This window comes from Homo sapiens, chromosome 5 (assembly GCF_000001405.40).
Source record: "Homo sapiens chromosome 5, GRCh38.p14 Primary Assembly".
Classification (NCBI taxonomy): domain Eukaryota; kingdom Metazoa; phylum Chordata; class Mammalia; order Primates; family Hominidae; genus Homo; species Homo sapiens.
This window is the reverse complement of record NC_000005.10, coordinates 55,867,732-55,884,361: the sequence shown is the minus strand read 5'-3', so window position 1 is coordinate 55,884,361 and position 16,630 is coordinate 55,867,732. Positions and strand designations below refer to the sequence as shown.

The 16,630-nt window shown below is 37.2% G+C and overlaps 1 protein-coding gene across 10 annotated transcripts in view; it reads right to left on the bottom strand.

The window, feature by feature from the left end:
- IL31RA (interleukin 31 receptor A) overlaps window positions 1–16,630 on the bottom strand; it is an 83,062-nt gene that overhangs the window by 38,489 nt on the left and 27,943 nt on the right. For 7 of the 10 annotated variants that reach the window (XM_011543142.3, NM_001242638.2, NM_139017.7 and 4 more), the window contains 3 exons: window positions 15,454–15,571; window positions 11,911–12,092; window positions 1,167–1,318 (listed from right to left, as the gene is read on the bottom strand). In XM_011543142.3, the coding sequence (XP_011541444.1) occupies window positions 1,167–1,318; window positions 11,911–12,092; window positions 15,454–15,571 (452 nt within the window). Of the gene's footprint in view, window positions 1–1,166; window positions 1,319–2,306; window positions 2,427–11,910; window positions 12,093–15,453; window positions 15,572–16,630 lie in introns of those variants that run through there. The other 3 variants (XM_047416701.1, XM_047416700.1, XM_011543145.2) reach the window with 3 other exon arrangements.

Genomic DNA, 16,630 nt, shown 5'->3' with positions numbered 1-16,630 from the left:
ACTTTGAGGTAAGAAAACATTTCCTAAGACACAAAAGGCATTAAGCATAAAGGTAAAGACTGATAAAACTCTAACCATATTAAAATTAAGTGACTATTCCTCAAAAGTCACCATTAAGAGAGTGAAACGTCATGCCACATAGTGAAAGATGTTTGCAATACACGTAACAAATAAAAGACTCATAAATAGAATATGTAAGGAATGCCTACAAATCAATTGAAAAATCAGGCAGACCAGCCAATAGAAAAAACATGCAAAAGGCTTAAATCAGCGCTTCCAGAAGAAGGAATCCAAAGGGCCAATAAACATGTGAAAAGGTGTGTAACTTCATTAAAGGTCAGGTAAATGCAAATTAAAGCCACCATTCCATCATGTTCATACTATGAGATACTACACAGCAATGAAAATGTATAAACTACAGCATTATATAGCATGAATAAGTCTTAAAAGCACAATATTGAGAGATAGAAGCCAAACATTAGAAAATACAAAATATATGGATTCCCTTTATATGCTCCTCCTCTATTTCTACTGGGCGCTTCTTCATCCTGGGACTCAAGGAAACAGGGCATAGTCTCTTAAACTATGTTCTTCAGTGATGCAGCCTTAAATGGTAAAAAATGAAAGCAAAGAAGATTACCATGAAAATCAGGGTAACAGCTCTAACAGAGGTCATGAGCAAAGGGTAAGCAGGGGGCTCTGGCATCCTGGAGAAGTTCTATTCTTGGCCGCAGTGGTTTCTACATGAGCACTGACTTAATAATAATTTGTTAAATGTAATATTACGTTTTGTTCACCTTTCCAAATGTATGTTATACCTCATGATTTTATAAAAGGTCAGAAAAATAAAAAATAAAATGGCCAAACCATAGACTCTCTGGTAGCCAACATAGCCAGACACAAACTTGGATATAATGCAGAAGTAAATTTCTCACTCTTTATTATGTCCCTGTGCTCAGAAGGCAAAAATGCCTATTGTAGAACACCCTTCCAATCTAAAAGGTCCAGATGGAAAAATGGAAAACTGGAAGGAGAAGTACTTAGCAATGTCTCTCTTCTATTTTTAATGTAAAAAGTGAAATAATGATTCCAGGTCAACAATAGTTGTCAATGATTCTTTTCCTCTGGGCCTCTAATTGGAATATTATTATAATGGCATAACTTACCCAGCTGGTACTGTTGACTGTCCTGAATCGAAGTGTGTATTTTAAATCAGATGAAACAGGCGCCAACTCAGGCTTTATCCATTCAATTTGAATCATTCGTTTGATGCCCAAAACTGGTTTCACACGGAAAATCTTAGGTGGTTCAGTTTTCGCTGAAAATAAAAATCATACAACTCTCATATCTGCAAAAAGATAAGAATTTGCTAATAGCATCCACCCAAAATTGAAAAAAAATGATACGTGCATTGTGGTCTGCTATATGGAACGAAGATGGCATTTGCAAGGCAGTACAAAAGGAATGTCACCCCCCCAACCCCAACACCTCTGAAAAAGGAATACCCAGTGAGAGAAGGATGCATTCCTGTGATTTTTCAGCAAATCAGCCTCTTATTGATTGGTCATATGCTATGCCAAGCAGAAGGGAGGTAAAAAGAGACCACACAACCAGAAAATAGGCTGTCTCTCTTATTTACTCTCACCTCCCCTAGGCCTCTCCTTCCTTGACCCCTAGGATGATGGAATACCCACTATAAACACTAGAAAATAACTCTCATTTTCCTTGCACACTGCAAACATTTTAGCCTTAAATTTCTCTCTTTGAAAATATGCATTTTTCTAGTTATAAATGTAGCATATGCTTATTATACAACATTTTTTAAGTGTAGAAAAATACAAAGAAAAACTAAAAATCATCCATTATCCCATCAACCAGAGATAACCCTTATTACCATTTTGTTATATTTCCTTTCAGCCGTTTTCCGTATAATTATTTGCATTATCTTCTAACAAAATTGGTATTACGCTAAATAAAGCTTTTGTTTTTTAAAAATAACATTATGCAATCAGCATATATCCCTTTGTATTAATAATTCTTCAAAACATGATTTTTAAGGTTCATAATATTCTACTTTATGAATGAACATAATTTTTTGACTTATGTTCTATTATCGCACATTCATGGTATTACAGTAGGTAGCTAATCAGGCATGAGAAGGACAGGAGAGGGCTCCCCCTACACCCCACCAGGAAAGTCAGGTGACCATCAGGTGATGCTCAGACCATTGTCACGCTGCCTTGCAAACCTAATAATTGGCTGTAGCCAGCACCAGGGAAAGGCAGTTTCCCAATATATAAAAACACCTGTAACTGGTGATTGGCAGCTCCCCAGTAAGATCTCAGGAATTGGGCTGGACGCAGTGGCTCACATCTGTAATCCCAGCACTTTGGGAGGCTGAGGCAGGCAGATCAGGAGGTCAGGGGTTCAAGACCAGCCTGGCCAACATAGTGAAACCCCATCTCTACTAAAAATACAAAAATTAGCCGGGCATGGTGGCGGGCGCCAATAATCCCAGCTACTCAGGAGGCAGGAAAATCACTTGAACCCAGTAGGCAGAGGTGGCAGATTGCACCACCACACTCCAGCCTGGGCGACACAGTGAGACTCTGTCTCAAAAAAAAAAAAAAAAAAAAAAAAAAAAATCTCAGGAACTGGGCGAGTGGGCTCAAGCATGGCCATTAAGAGGCAAAATGGCAGAGTTTAACTGGTATATGAGCTTCTGGGGGCATTCCAATGGAAAAGGGAAGAACGCCTCAGTTGAGCATGCGTACGACTCCAGTAAATACACTGCGCATGCTCACCTCCTAAGTTCTAGCAGGCCGCCGTGCAAGTGGGCAGCTCACCGTAAGGGAAGAATCAAGGGAAATGGGACGCAAGGTGCCGGAAGTAGGCCGGCGTAGAAAACCCAAGGCGCAGAAAAGTCCAAGGTCAAACGGGGCACTTGACCTCCAGGATGCCCACTTGGCCCTCTTCCAAGTGTTCTTTACCTTCTTCCTTCTTTCCATTCCTGCTCTAAAGCTTTTTTTTCTTTTTCTTTATCTTTTTCTTTTTTTTTTTGAGATGGAGCCTTGCTCTGTCACCCACGCTGGAGTGCAGTGGCGCGATCTCGGCTCACTGCAAGCTCCGCCTTCCGGGTTCACGCCATTCTCCTGCCTCAGCCCCCCTAGTAGCTGGGACTACAGGCATCTGCCACCACGCCCAGCTAATTTTTTGTATTTTTAGTAGAGACAAGGTTTCACCATGTTAGCCAAGACGGTCTCAAGCTCCTGACCTCGTGATCCGCCCGCCTCAGGCTCCCAAAGTGCTGAGATTACAGGCATGAGCCACCGCGCCCGGCCTCTAAAGCTTTTTAATAAACTTCCACTCCTGCTCTAAAACGTGCCTCAGTTTCTTCTTCTGTCGTATGCCCCTCAGTTGAATTCTTTCTTCCGAGGAGGCAAGAACTGAGGTTGCTGCAGACCCATACGGATTTGCTGCTGGTAACTCAGATAACTTCCACCGCTAACAATAGTGTTTCTAATTTTTCATTTAAAACTCCTTGAGGACAAAGGCTGGTCTTGATCACAGAGTCTAGAATTAACACCTGACATTTAGCAGGTATCAAATATTTGTTAAGTGAATGAGTAAATGGATGATGGTTGAATTTTCCTTTACATCTCTGGTGGTTTCCCTAGACCCCTTAGCAGAGGCTGACTGGGTAAAAGGGCATGACCATGTTTAGGGCTGCTGTCACACAGTGCCATTTAGCTTTCCAGAAAGGTTATACCAATTTCAGTTTCCATCAACATTGTATGAATACCCATCTCACCAGACTCTTGCTAGCTAGAATTGAATAGTATTATCTTTTTAGTCTTTGTAATTCTTTTTTTAATTTTTAAAATTTTTAATTTTTTGAGTACATAGTTGGTGTGTATATTTATGGGACATATGAGCTGTTTTGATACAGGCATGCAATGTAAAATAATCACATCATGGAGAATGGGGTCTTTGTAATTCTTGAAGAGTTTTAGAAAGCAAAATCCCTACTTAGAGACATGGACTTTAAAACATTAACTGGGTAAAAATATTCAGAAAACTCTTGGTAGCTACTCAAAAAATAATTTGTACTGATGCCTGGACTAAAGGGTGGTCATCAATCCGTGTGGCCACTAGTAAGTAGAGCTGTATACAATAGACATATTAAGTATTTCCATAAAATTATTTATATGTATTGAGCACTTGATAAGTATTTTTTTAGGTGAATCATTTTGTTGAATCCTCTCAACCACCTAACATTTATTATATCCATTCTACAGAAGATAAAACTGGTATTGGAAAAGGGAAAATAACTTTCTAATAAGAAGCCAATCTAAGACTCATTTGTATCCACACCAAAGTTTCTGCCCTTGTTCATTACACTAACCACCTCCAGTCAGAATAAACACAAATACCTACTGTAGTTCCACTTAACTCTAATACTCTATAACCAAGGAGATAGAAAGTATTAGTTATTCCTCTGAATAAAAATAGCTCTCAGAATATCTCATTAAGAACTGATTTATATCAAGTGACATCAGCAAAATGGCAGACTAGGTAGCTCTAAGTTCTTGTTCTCCCATGAAAACATTGAAAAAAAAAAAAAAAAGACTGGACTGGGCTTGGAGGCTCATGCCTGTAATCCCAGCACTTTGGGAGGCTGAGGCAGGTGGATCACAAAGTGAGGAGATCAAGACCATCCTGGCCAACATGGTGAAACCCTGTCTCTACTAAAAATACAAAAATAGCTGGGTATGGTGGTGCGTGCCTGTAGTCCCAGCTGCCTGGGAGGCTGAGGCAGGAGAATCGCTTGAACCTGGGAGGCGGAGGTTGCATTGAGCCAAGATCGCGCCACAGCACTCCAGCCTGGGTGATAGAGCAACACTCCATCTCAAAAAAAAAAAAAAAAAAAAAAAAAGGACAGAAACTGGCTGAACTAAACTTGTAGGAGCTCTGGAAATCAACCCAAGGTTTATAACCATTATAAACACCAAATCAAGACAAAGTCACCTTCAAAGTGGCAGGAAAATAGTTTTGTGGCTGTCTTACTTGCCCTTGCCCCACCCTCTCCCTGAAACATCAGTGGTCTTGGTTTGAAGAAGGTGGCATCTCAGGTCCTATTTCCCTTCTACCAACTAAAGAGAACAGAGCACACTTACTTATATTCCAGCCTGTCTGAGGGCAGACTAAACGACTGGTCTCTGTTTTGCCTAACTTTAATCTCAGGCAGGAAAAGAGCCAGGCACTGCTCATAAAAGCTACAGGGAGACTACAGACACATGGAAGCCTGGGGCAAGAGATTATGTATGCAGACATACAATAAATTATATAAAATCATAAGGAGAAACTGGGTAAGACTCTTTGGGAAATTAAGACATTCAAAAGCAGCTGTGGCCGGGCATAGTGGCTCACACCTGTAATCCCAACACTTTGAAAGGCTGAGGCAAGCAGATCACTTGAGCTCAGAAGTTTGAAACTGGCCTGGGCAGCATGGTGAAATGCCACCTCTACAAAAAAATATAAAAAGTAGCCAGGTGTGGTGTGTGCCTGTAGTCCCAGCCACTTGGGAGGCTGAGGTGGGAGAATGGCTTGAGACCAGGAAGGGGAGGTTGCCATGAGCTATGATGGCATCACTGAACTCCAGCCTGGGCAACAGAGCCAGACCCTGTCTCAAAAAAAGAAGAAAAAAAAGCAGCTGTGTGTATATACAGTGTAACTGAGAAAGCACCAGCCAGGCCTACACAAGATGTATACTCAGAAAAGAACTGAGAAGACTTTAAGTTTTCACCTTGGGCTGATCCCTAGGCTCAGAGTAAGCCCAGCTAATCTATGAAGAACAGCCCCAGCACAGAGTCAGTCTGCAAAGACGTGGAGAGGTAGCTGTTTTTTCCAATGCCCAATTTTTAACAACAACAACAAAAATTGCAAGGCATACAAAGAAACAGGAAAACATGGCCCATTTAAGTAAACAAAACAAATCCACAGAAACTGTCCTTGAGGAAGCCCAGCCATCAGAATTTCTAGACCAAGACCCTAAAATGATCACCTTAAATATGTTCAAAGAGCTAAAGTTAAACATGGACAAATAACTAAAGGAAATCAGGAAAATAATACATGAACAAAATGAGAATATCAACAAAAATATATAAATTATTTTTTTAAAAGAAGCAAACAGAAACTCTGAAGTTGAAAATCACAGTACCTGAAATACAAATTCACTACAGGGGTTCAGCAGTAAACTTAAGCAGGCATAAGAAACAATCAGTAAATGTGAAGATAGAACAACTGAAAGTATTGAGTCTGAGGAACAGAAAGAAAAAATATAAGGAAAAATAAACAGAGTCTAAGGGAGCTGTGGAACAGGATCAAGCCAACCAATAAACACATTTTGGGAGTTTCTGAAAGAGAAGAGAGAGAGGAAGTGGTGGAGAGATTATTTGAAGAAATAGTAGCTAAAAAGTCCCCAAATGTGATGAAATACACAAATCTACAAATCCAAGAATCCCAGTGAATACCAAGTAGGATAAACCCAAAGAGACCCACACTAAGACACATTACAACCAAACCCCAGAAAGACAAAGACAGTATCTTGGAAGCAGCAAGAGAGATACAACTCATCACATACAATGGATCTTCAACTAAGATCAGCAAAAACCTTAGAGCCCAGAAGGCAGTGGGATAATACATTTAAAGTGCTGAAAGAGAAAAAAAATTGTCAACTGAGAATTACATACCTGGCAAAACTATTCTTCAAAAATGAGGGAGAAATTAAGACATTCCAAAATAAATAAAAGTTGAGAGAGTTCATTACCAATAGGCCTGCCCTATAAGAAATGCTAAAAGGAGTCCTTCAGGTTGAAATGAAAGGACACTAGACATTAACTTGGAGCCAGATGAAGATATAAAGATCTCTAGTATAAATACACAAGCAAATATAAAAGCTAGTATTATTGTAATTATGGTTTATAATTCCTCTTTTTATTTTCCAAAGAATTTAAAAGACTAATGTATGAAAAACAATTATAGCTTTATGGTATACAGTGGATACAGATGTAATTTGTGACATCAATGACATAAAATGGGGATGGGGAATGAAGCTGTGTAGGAGTAGAGTTTTATATGCAATTGAAGTTAAGTTGATATCATTTCAAATTAGATTGTTATAACTTTAGATGCTATTTGTAGTCCCCATGGTAATCTCAAAGAAAGTATCTATAGAAAATACACCAAAGGAAATCAAAACACGTCACCACAAAGAAATCAACTAAACACAAAAGAAGACAATAATGAAAAAAAGAGGGATAAAAAAGCTATAAAATATAAAAGAAAAAATTTTAAATGTCAAAAGTAAGTCCTTCCTTATCAACAATTACTTTAAATGTAAATAGGTTAAACTCTCCAACCCAAATACACAGATCAGCAGATAATTAAAGAAAAAAAAATCCAACTGGCTGGGCACAAGGGCTTATGCTGGTAATCTCAACATTTTGGGAGGCCAAAGCAGAGGGTTCATTTGAGGCCAGAAGTTCAAGACCAGCCTGAGTAACATAGCAAGTCTCTATAAAAAATAAAATAAAAAATTTAAATTAAAAAAAGATCTAACTATATGCTATCTACAAAGACTAACTTTAGATCTGAAAATACAAATAGATTGAAAGTGAAAGGATGAAAAAAGATGTTCCATGCAAATAGTAAACAAAAGAGAGCAGGGTGGGCATACTAAAATCAGACAGAATACATTTTAAGTCAAAAACTGATGCATATCAAACATAGCTAAAGTTTATTTATTTAGATACCACTAACTGTAATAATTTATGTCAGAGGCTGGACCAAAGTAAACTCCGGCATTATCTGTGAAAAAGGTTTAAGCAAATTATCACTGTAAACTGGGGGTAGGAAGGACGTATCTCAATTAGAGATCAAAATATATATATTTTTTGAGATGGAATCTTGCTCTGTTACCAGGCTGGAGTGTAGTGGCATGATCTCGGCTCACTGCAACCTCTGCTTCCCGAGTGCAAGTGATTTTCCTGCCTCAGCCTCCCGAGTAGCTGGGACTACAGGTGCGCACCACCATGCCCAGCTAATTTTTGTATTTTTAGTAGAGACGGGGTTTCACCATGTTGGCCAGGATGGTCTCAATCTCTTGACCTCATGATTTGCCCGCCTCAGCCTCCCAAAGTGCTGGGATTACAGGCATGAGCCACCGCGCCAGCCCAAAATATTTTTAATTGCTCTTAAAAGCACTGTCATAGTTCTATCCACTTGAATTTAAATAAGAAAAGTTCTATTGAAAGTAATGGCAAAAACCACAATTACTTTTGTACTAACCTAATTATTATAAAATTATTATGCTTATTATTCTGATATTAAATGCTTTCATTAAAGGATTAAAAAAAATCTTAGTACTTAGCAACACTTTACCAGGTCCTAGAAACATATTATAAAAACAGAGTTTCTTCAGAGTTTAATTTTATAATTCCAGTATTGTATCAATTTAGGCCAAAATTCCTCCTCAAAGTTTTAAGCAGTGGCAATTACAGAATATTTAAATAGATACTAAATCTAGTTGAAAGAAGGACTAGAAAGTTTGCTTTGTTTTGTTTTGAGTTTTCTTTGTAACTGAATTTGCTTTTTAATATTTTAATTGCTAAAGTAATAATACATTTATTTTAAGAAAGTAAAAATAGTAATAATGAAGGTTTTTGAGAAAAAGTGAATAATCTTGTCCCCTTCCAGGTCTATCATCATGAATTAACACCAATGTTTACAGTGTGGAGTAAGTCTTCCAAAGGGAGGTCTTAAAAAAAAAGTTTTATAAAGAAACCAAGTCAAAAACTTCCCACAAAGAAAGCCCAGGCCCAGATGGCTTCACTGAGGAAATCTATTGACAGGTTTAAAAATAATTAACACTAGTCTTTCACAGACTTTTCCAAAAAATAGAAGATGAGGAAACACTTACCAGCTCATTCTATGAGGCCAATATTACCCTGATACCAAAAACAAAGATATCACAAGAAAGCTACAGACCATATCCATGTTGAATATAGGAGCAAAAATCCTCAATAAAAAACCAGGAATCCAAATTCAGCGACATATAAAAAGAATTATACACCACAACCAAGTGGAATTTATTACAGAAATACAAGGTTTGTTTAACTTATGAAAACCAGTCAATGTAAGACACCATTTTAATAAAAGACAAAACCATATGATCATCCCACCAGATAAAGAAAAGGCATGTGACAAGATCCCACACCTATTCACAATAAGGAAATGCTCAACAAACTATGAGTGGAAGGAAATTTTCTCAATGTGCAATGGGTATCTACCAAACCCATAGCTAAACTAACATCAAACTTAAATGGTGAAAGACTAGATGCTTTCCCCCTAAGATCAGGAACAAGAAAAGGATGTCTGCTTTCAACACTTCTATTCAACACTATACTAAAAGTTCTAGACAAGGCAACTAGTCAAGAAAAATAAAACGTATCCAGATCATAAAGGAAGAAATAAGATTATGTTTGCAGATGACATGACCTTGTATACAGACAATCCTAAGGAATCCACCTAAAAAACCTATTAGAACCAATAAACAAGTTCAACAAGGTTGCCAATTACCAAATCGATATACAAAAATCAATTGTATTTATATACACTAACAATGAACAATCTGAAAATAAAATTAAGAAAGCAATTCCATTTACAATAGCATTTAAAAGAATAAAATACTTTGGAATAAACTGAACCAAAGAAATGTACAACTTCTGCACTGGAAACTGTAACAAATTAATGAAAGAAACTGAAGGCAGCCTAAATAAATGGAAAGATATTCCATGTTCATGGATTGGAAGATTGTTTATTATGAAGATGACAATATCCGTATTGAAATCACAGCTGACTTCTCTGCAGAAATTGACAAGCTAATACTAAAATATTATATGGAAATGCAAGGGACCCAACAGCTAAAACAATCTTGAAAAAGAACACAGTTGGAGGACTCACTTTCCCAATTTCAAAACTTATTATAAGGCTACAGTAATCAAGACAGTGTGGTATTGGCCTAATTACAAAAATATAGTTCAATGGAATAGAATTGAAGACCCTGAAAAATACCTTACATTTATGGTGAAATAATTGATTTTTACAAAGGTGCCAAGACAATTCAACAACGTGGGATGGGGCCATGGGGTCAGAAATCATCTTTTCAACAAATGATTCTGAGATAACTGGATATCCACATGCAAAAGAATAAAGTTAGACCCCTATTTAACACCATATACAAAAATTAACTCAAAATGGATCAATAATTCAAATGTAGGAACTAAGACTTCAAAACTCTTAGAAAAAACTACAGCAGTAAATCTTTCTGACCTCAGGTTAGGCAATGGTTTCTTAGATATGACACCTAAAGTACAAACAATCAAATAAAAAATATATACATTTTTGACTTCATATAAATATTTTTCTACCTTAACCATTTAAAAAGTAAAAGAAAACCCACAAACAGGGAGGAAATATTTGCAAATTACATATCTGATAAGGAACTTGTGCCAAGAATATATAAACAATTCTTAAAACTCAACAATAAAGACAACTCAATTATAAATAGGCAAAGGATTTGAATAAGCATTTCTCCAGAGAAGATATACAAATGGCCAATAAACACATGAAAAATGTTCAATATCATTAGACATTGGATAAATGCAAATCAGAACCATAACAAGGTATCACTTCACACCCACTAGGATGGCTATAATTAAAAAAAGATGGACAATAACAAGTGTTGGTGAGGGTATGCAGAAATTGTAACCTTTATAAATTGCCAGTGGGAATGTTAAATGGTGCAGTCACTTTGATAAAGTTTAGCAGTTCTACCAAAAGTTAAACATTGAGTTACCATGTGACTCAGCAATTTCACTAGGTATATATCTAAGAGAATTGAAACATGTCCACACAAAAAATTGTATACAAATATTCACAGCAACATTATTCATAATAATCAAAAGGTAGCAACAAGCCAAATGTCCATAAACTGATGTATGGGTAAACAAAATGTGGTATATACATCCAGTGGAATATTATTTAGCTATAAAAAGAATTAAAGCACTAATACATGCTACAACATTGATGAACCTTGAAAACATTATGCTAAGTGAAAGAAATTAGATAAAAAGACCACATATTATATTTTTATAAAATGTATAGGCAAATCCATACAGGCAGAAAATAGATTAGTGGTTGCCAGAGAATGGAGGAAAGAGAAAACAAAGGATTGAGGACTGACTGCTAATGGGTATGAATTTTCTTTTGAGGGCAATAAAAATGTTCTGAAATTAGACAGTGGTAACATATGTACAACTTTGTGAATACAATAAAAATCACTGAACTGTACATTTTAAAAAGGTGAAATTTATATAATGTGAATTATATCTCAATACAGTTATAATTTTAAAAGTATATGGTGAAAATTAGTCTTTGAAAAAGATTTTTTTTTAAGTCAGAAGTGGTGAGGCATTTTAAAAAATAATAATTTTATGCTCTTTTCGTTTATGAGCAATGACATTGGCAGGGTGGGGTGGTGGGGAGAGACCTTTTTGTTTCTTTGAGTGCAATTACAAACTACAAGAGGAAACCAGTGGCCCACAAAATAGCTTTTGTTTCTCATTCCTTTTTTCCCATTTGGTGAATCCCTCCCTCCCTCCCTCCCTTCCTTCCTTCCCTCCTTCCCCCACTTCCTTTCTTCTTTAATTAGAAGATGAATTTTCTGTATACCCACAACACATATCCTTGAACTTGATGAGCCTACTTTTGAGTCCACAGATACCTCTTGAACAGAGAAGGAGGTAAACATTTAATAAAGAGTATATAAGAGTATCAAATAACACTTACCTATGTTCTCTAATCTCCAGTATGTCATATGAGATTTAATTACACCATCTCCATTTTCAGCTTCCACCTCAATGGTATAATTATCTGGGATCGTTATTCTTGGAAGGAAAAAAGAGCACGAAGCACGATTTTCACTTGTAGAACTATTGGTTGTACAATTATCATGTTTTTCTCCAAAAGCGCTTTGAAAGAAAAAGTGATTCAACATGAGTTTAGTACAATGGTTTGGAAACATAACCATATTTAATGTATTAAGCAGTAATTTGTTAGTTTTTCTCTGGGTTTTCTTGAGAACTGTATAGTCCAGGATATTTGGTTATCCTCTTTCCAAATTCCTTCCTCACCTCCAAGGAAAGGTAAAGGTTACCTGCTTTCTGCTGCCTGAGATGCTTTAGGAGCCATGAAAACCTCTTTGGATCCCTGTAAGTCATGAAAAGCTATAGTTGCAATGCATGTCCTATATAGCATGAAAAGCTATAGTTGCAAGAAATCATGAGTAGGTCCCTGAAAACTCCAGATTCTAGCCTTAAAAATTTATTCTTTTACATATATATGTAAAAATATATTCATATATGTAAGGATTTGTTAAATACATTATGGTAGATACATAAATAGAATGTAAGTGATGGTTTTTAACATACTGTATTTATTGATATGGAAAGATGCATCTACTGCTGGTGAAAAAAAGTAGGATGCATATCATGTATAGAATGATCACAGTTACATAAACATAAAGATATTTACATAACTTTGTGGAGATATCTAGAGAGATCATCAAAATGTTCAAGCTGTTACCCTTGGCAGTGGGATTCTGGGTAACTTTTTACATTCTTTATAATTTTTCAGGTTGAATTTTTGAACATTGGTATATATTGTTTTCAGAAAAATCTTTAAAACAGATAGATAGATGATAGATTAGATATATACTACCAAGCTGTAACTTAATGAAAACAAATACACATATTAGTGGGAATCAGATGGGTGGTTCTAGCTATAGTCCACATGGTTCTGGGGGTTGTGGAGGAGATAAAGCAGGCTGAGAACAGAAAAGAAGGCCCACCTTGCAAGGTACCAGTGTTTGCTGGTGTGTGGGAAGACATATACACATGGAATACATACAGGGAGACATAGACACATAGAATCATGGAATTTTGAAACTAGAAAGGACCTCAAGAGTGGTTGATGGTTATTTTACAGCACAAAAATGGCCTCCAGGGCAATGTGTCGTGGTTATAAGCACAGGTTCTAGAATCAGACCAGGTTTGAATCGTGGCTTTGCCCCTATTAACTGTGTGACTTGGGCAAGTTCTTTAACCTCTCTGTGCCTTAGTTTTCTCATCTGTAAAATGAAGACAGTAATATATCTGTAGCATAGGGTTATGAGGATGAAATGAGCTAATACACATAAGGCACTTTTAAAATGTCCAGCACAGAGTCAATAAATGTGAGCTGTTATTACTATAATTGTAGTTGAATATTTCTGCATTTATTCATGCTGTGACCTTTGAGAAATAAACTTTCTCTCCTTTTCCACACCTCTAGACCTCCTTTCAGCCTCAGTTCAAAAATCATTATCTCCATGAAGGCATCCCCAACTCCCCAGGAAAAATTCTTTCCTATTGTTTCTGGACATCAGAAGGTTTTTGGCTTATTCCATGACCTACTGAAAAGTGCTCCCAGGTAGGCCATCCACAGGGAAACCCTTCCACTTTGCTTGGAAGAGATCCTCTTGGTGATAAATTCACAAAAATGCAAGTGGCCTAGGAGTTCTAGACAGCCTAGCTGGCCTGAGGCCATCAAGGGGAGCTGGGTATAGGCCTGGGGATTCCCAGGTGTTTTCTATTTCTCCATGTCCAACTGGTGATAATAATAACAACCCAAAGGGAAAGATGGAGGAAGAGGGGAAATGTCTCTATAAGACAGAAAAATAGCAGTAAACCTATAAAGGTGCCCAGATTCTCATTCTACTAGCAATTGATATTCAACACTGGGACTAGAACTGACAAATCTGGAAGAAAAGTCATTTGGATCATGGGTTATTGGGCCTTTATCATGCTTATTTTCTAAAACAGGGATAAGCAAACGACAGCCTGTAGGTCAAATATAGCCCATCTCTTGATCTTGCACAGCCTGTAGGCTTAAGACTATTTACATGCTGTTAATGGTTGAAAAATAAATAAAACGAACAAAAATACTTTGGGGCGTGTGAAAATTATATAATATTCACATTTCAGTGTCCATGGATAAAGTTTCGTTGGAAAGCAGCCGCACCCATTGGTTTATATATTGCCTATAGCTGTATGAGTGCTATAACAGTAGTGTTGAAAAGTTCTGACAGAGACCGATCTCCTTCTTAATATTACTATATTTACCATCTGGCCCTTTAGAAGAGAAATTTGCTGACTCCTGTTTTAAAGCATCTCTCTGACATAGGTTCTCGTAGCTATATCAGTGCTGCTGAGAATACTGCTTGTTTTTTTCATTTCTTCCACTGAAAACATAAAGTGGACTTCCCTTGCAATGTGAGATTTAGCTTAAAAATAAAGAATTTGGAATCACAGACTGTTTTGAAATGAAAAAGACTAAAGGTCATCTTACAATGCTTCCCAACATGGGCCCCCTTATTCATTATTCACAAGAAGGAAGTAATGAGCTATGTTAAAAATTTTTGTTAAAAAGGACAGGCACGGTGGCTCATGCCTGTAATCCCAGCACTTTTGGGAGCTGAGGTGGGCGGATCACTTGAAGTCCGGAGTTCGAGACCAGCCTGGCCAACATGGTGAAACCCTGTCTCTACTAAAAATACAAAAGTTGGCCAGGTATGGTGGTGTGCACCCATAATTCCAGCTACTTGGGAGGCTGAGGCAGGAGAATCGCTTGAACCTGGGAGATGGAGGTTGTAGTGAGCTGAGATCACACCACTGCACTCCAGCCTGGGGGACAGAGTGAGATTCTGTCTCAAAAAAAAGTTTTTTTTTAACCTGCAAATATTTACTTAAAACATCTAGCTTTTGGCTAGAATAATAATTAAAAATTATAAAATTTTCATTCTACAGAATTGGAATAAAGAGGGATGCTTGAGGTAGTAAAAAAAATTGGGGAATCATTGTCCTGTGGAATAGTGTTTGACAGAGGTCACACAGCAAATTAGTGGCAGACCATGGTCAATTGCCTGTTAGTTCTGGGTTTACAACCTTACTTACTATATCTGGATCCAGAAAGAATGAACAGTTTTATATAACACATTCTGGAAAGAGGCAGGGTATAGTTGAGTGTAGTAAATAAACAGATTTTTCCACTGTGCTTATAACTGGTGACTCATCTCAGCCAATGGGGAATCCAGGAGGAGGTCAACACTGGCTATGCCTCCCCTCCCTCTGCAGCTCCAGATCCCGTCCACAAGCCACTGGCTGCACACAGTAATCACCCAGAAGCTGTCATTGAGGAAACTTTTTGCTTCATATGGGATGTGAATCATGAATGAATCAGAAGCCTCTGCCTCCCCCATGCCCTGACTGATAAAACACAAGCTCCTGTACTTACTAAGTTCTCTTAACTGTGTACTGGGTATAACTGGTTTCCTTTCCTGGACTCCAAGTGCAGGTTAAATTTTTCCTATAGTAGTAGACACAGGAAATGTTCTCAGGCTTAGCTGGCAGAGCTAAATAAATTAAACACACACACACACAAACACAAAAATTTCAGTACACAATAAATATTGCCAGCATTGAACATTTTTAATGGAAAATATGCTGATCAAAAGCTAGATTTTTTTGGTTAGTTGCTAGGTGTAACCTAGCAATCAGGTTCAATGGAAAGAATCTAACTTCATCTCTTTAATTATTCCCTTTCAAGAGCTAGATTTCTACTTTTTAAGAAATCCCTTTTTACATTCTTACTTAAATGTAACATTTGAGCAGCAAGCATTTTTAAAACACCAAGAAATACATACAAAGTATTTGTGATATACTCAGTAAAGCATCAAATGGTAGAATCACTCTGGATAATTCATGGGTAACAGATGATGTGGGCATAAGCAAGAATACAACCATGCCACACTTCAACCATATGTATCAACAATTTTCTTTTCCAGAAGATTGTACAATAGAGAAATTTATGAAATATCTTCAACTGTATCTTCATATCTTAGAAATCTTGCTCCTGAGAGCTCCCCACCCCATAGCATCCACACTTTCATAGGGAAACCAGATACTACCATCTAGAACAGGGACCTAGATCTTTAAGGGGTCCATGGGTAGAATTCAGGGGTCCATGAACTTAAATGGGGAAAATTTACATCTTTAATTTTCACTAACCTACTGTTGAAATTTAGGATTTCCTTCCATCATAAGTGTAATCAACAAACTACAGTAATAGCATCATTGCCTGTGACTTTGTCACCATTATAAATCACAAATATTTTCATATTATATTTTCGTTGCTGCAGGTACCTTAAAATATTTATATGGTTTGGTTGTGCCCCCACCCAAATCTTAACTTGAATTGTATCTCCCAGAATTCCCATGTGTTGTGGGAGGACCCAGGGGGAGGTAATTGAATCATGGAAGCTGGTTTTTCCTGTGCTATTCTCATGATAGTAAATAAGTAAATAACCCACGAGATCTGACGGGTTTATCAGGGGTTTGCGCTTTTACTTCTTTCTCATTTTCTCTTGCTGCAGCCATGTAGGAAGTGCCTTTTGCCTCCCACCATGATTCTG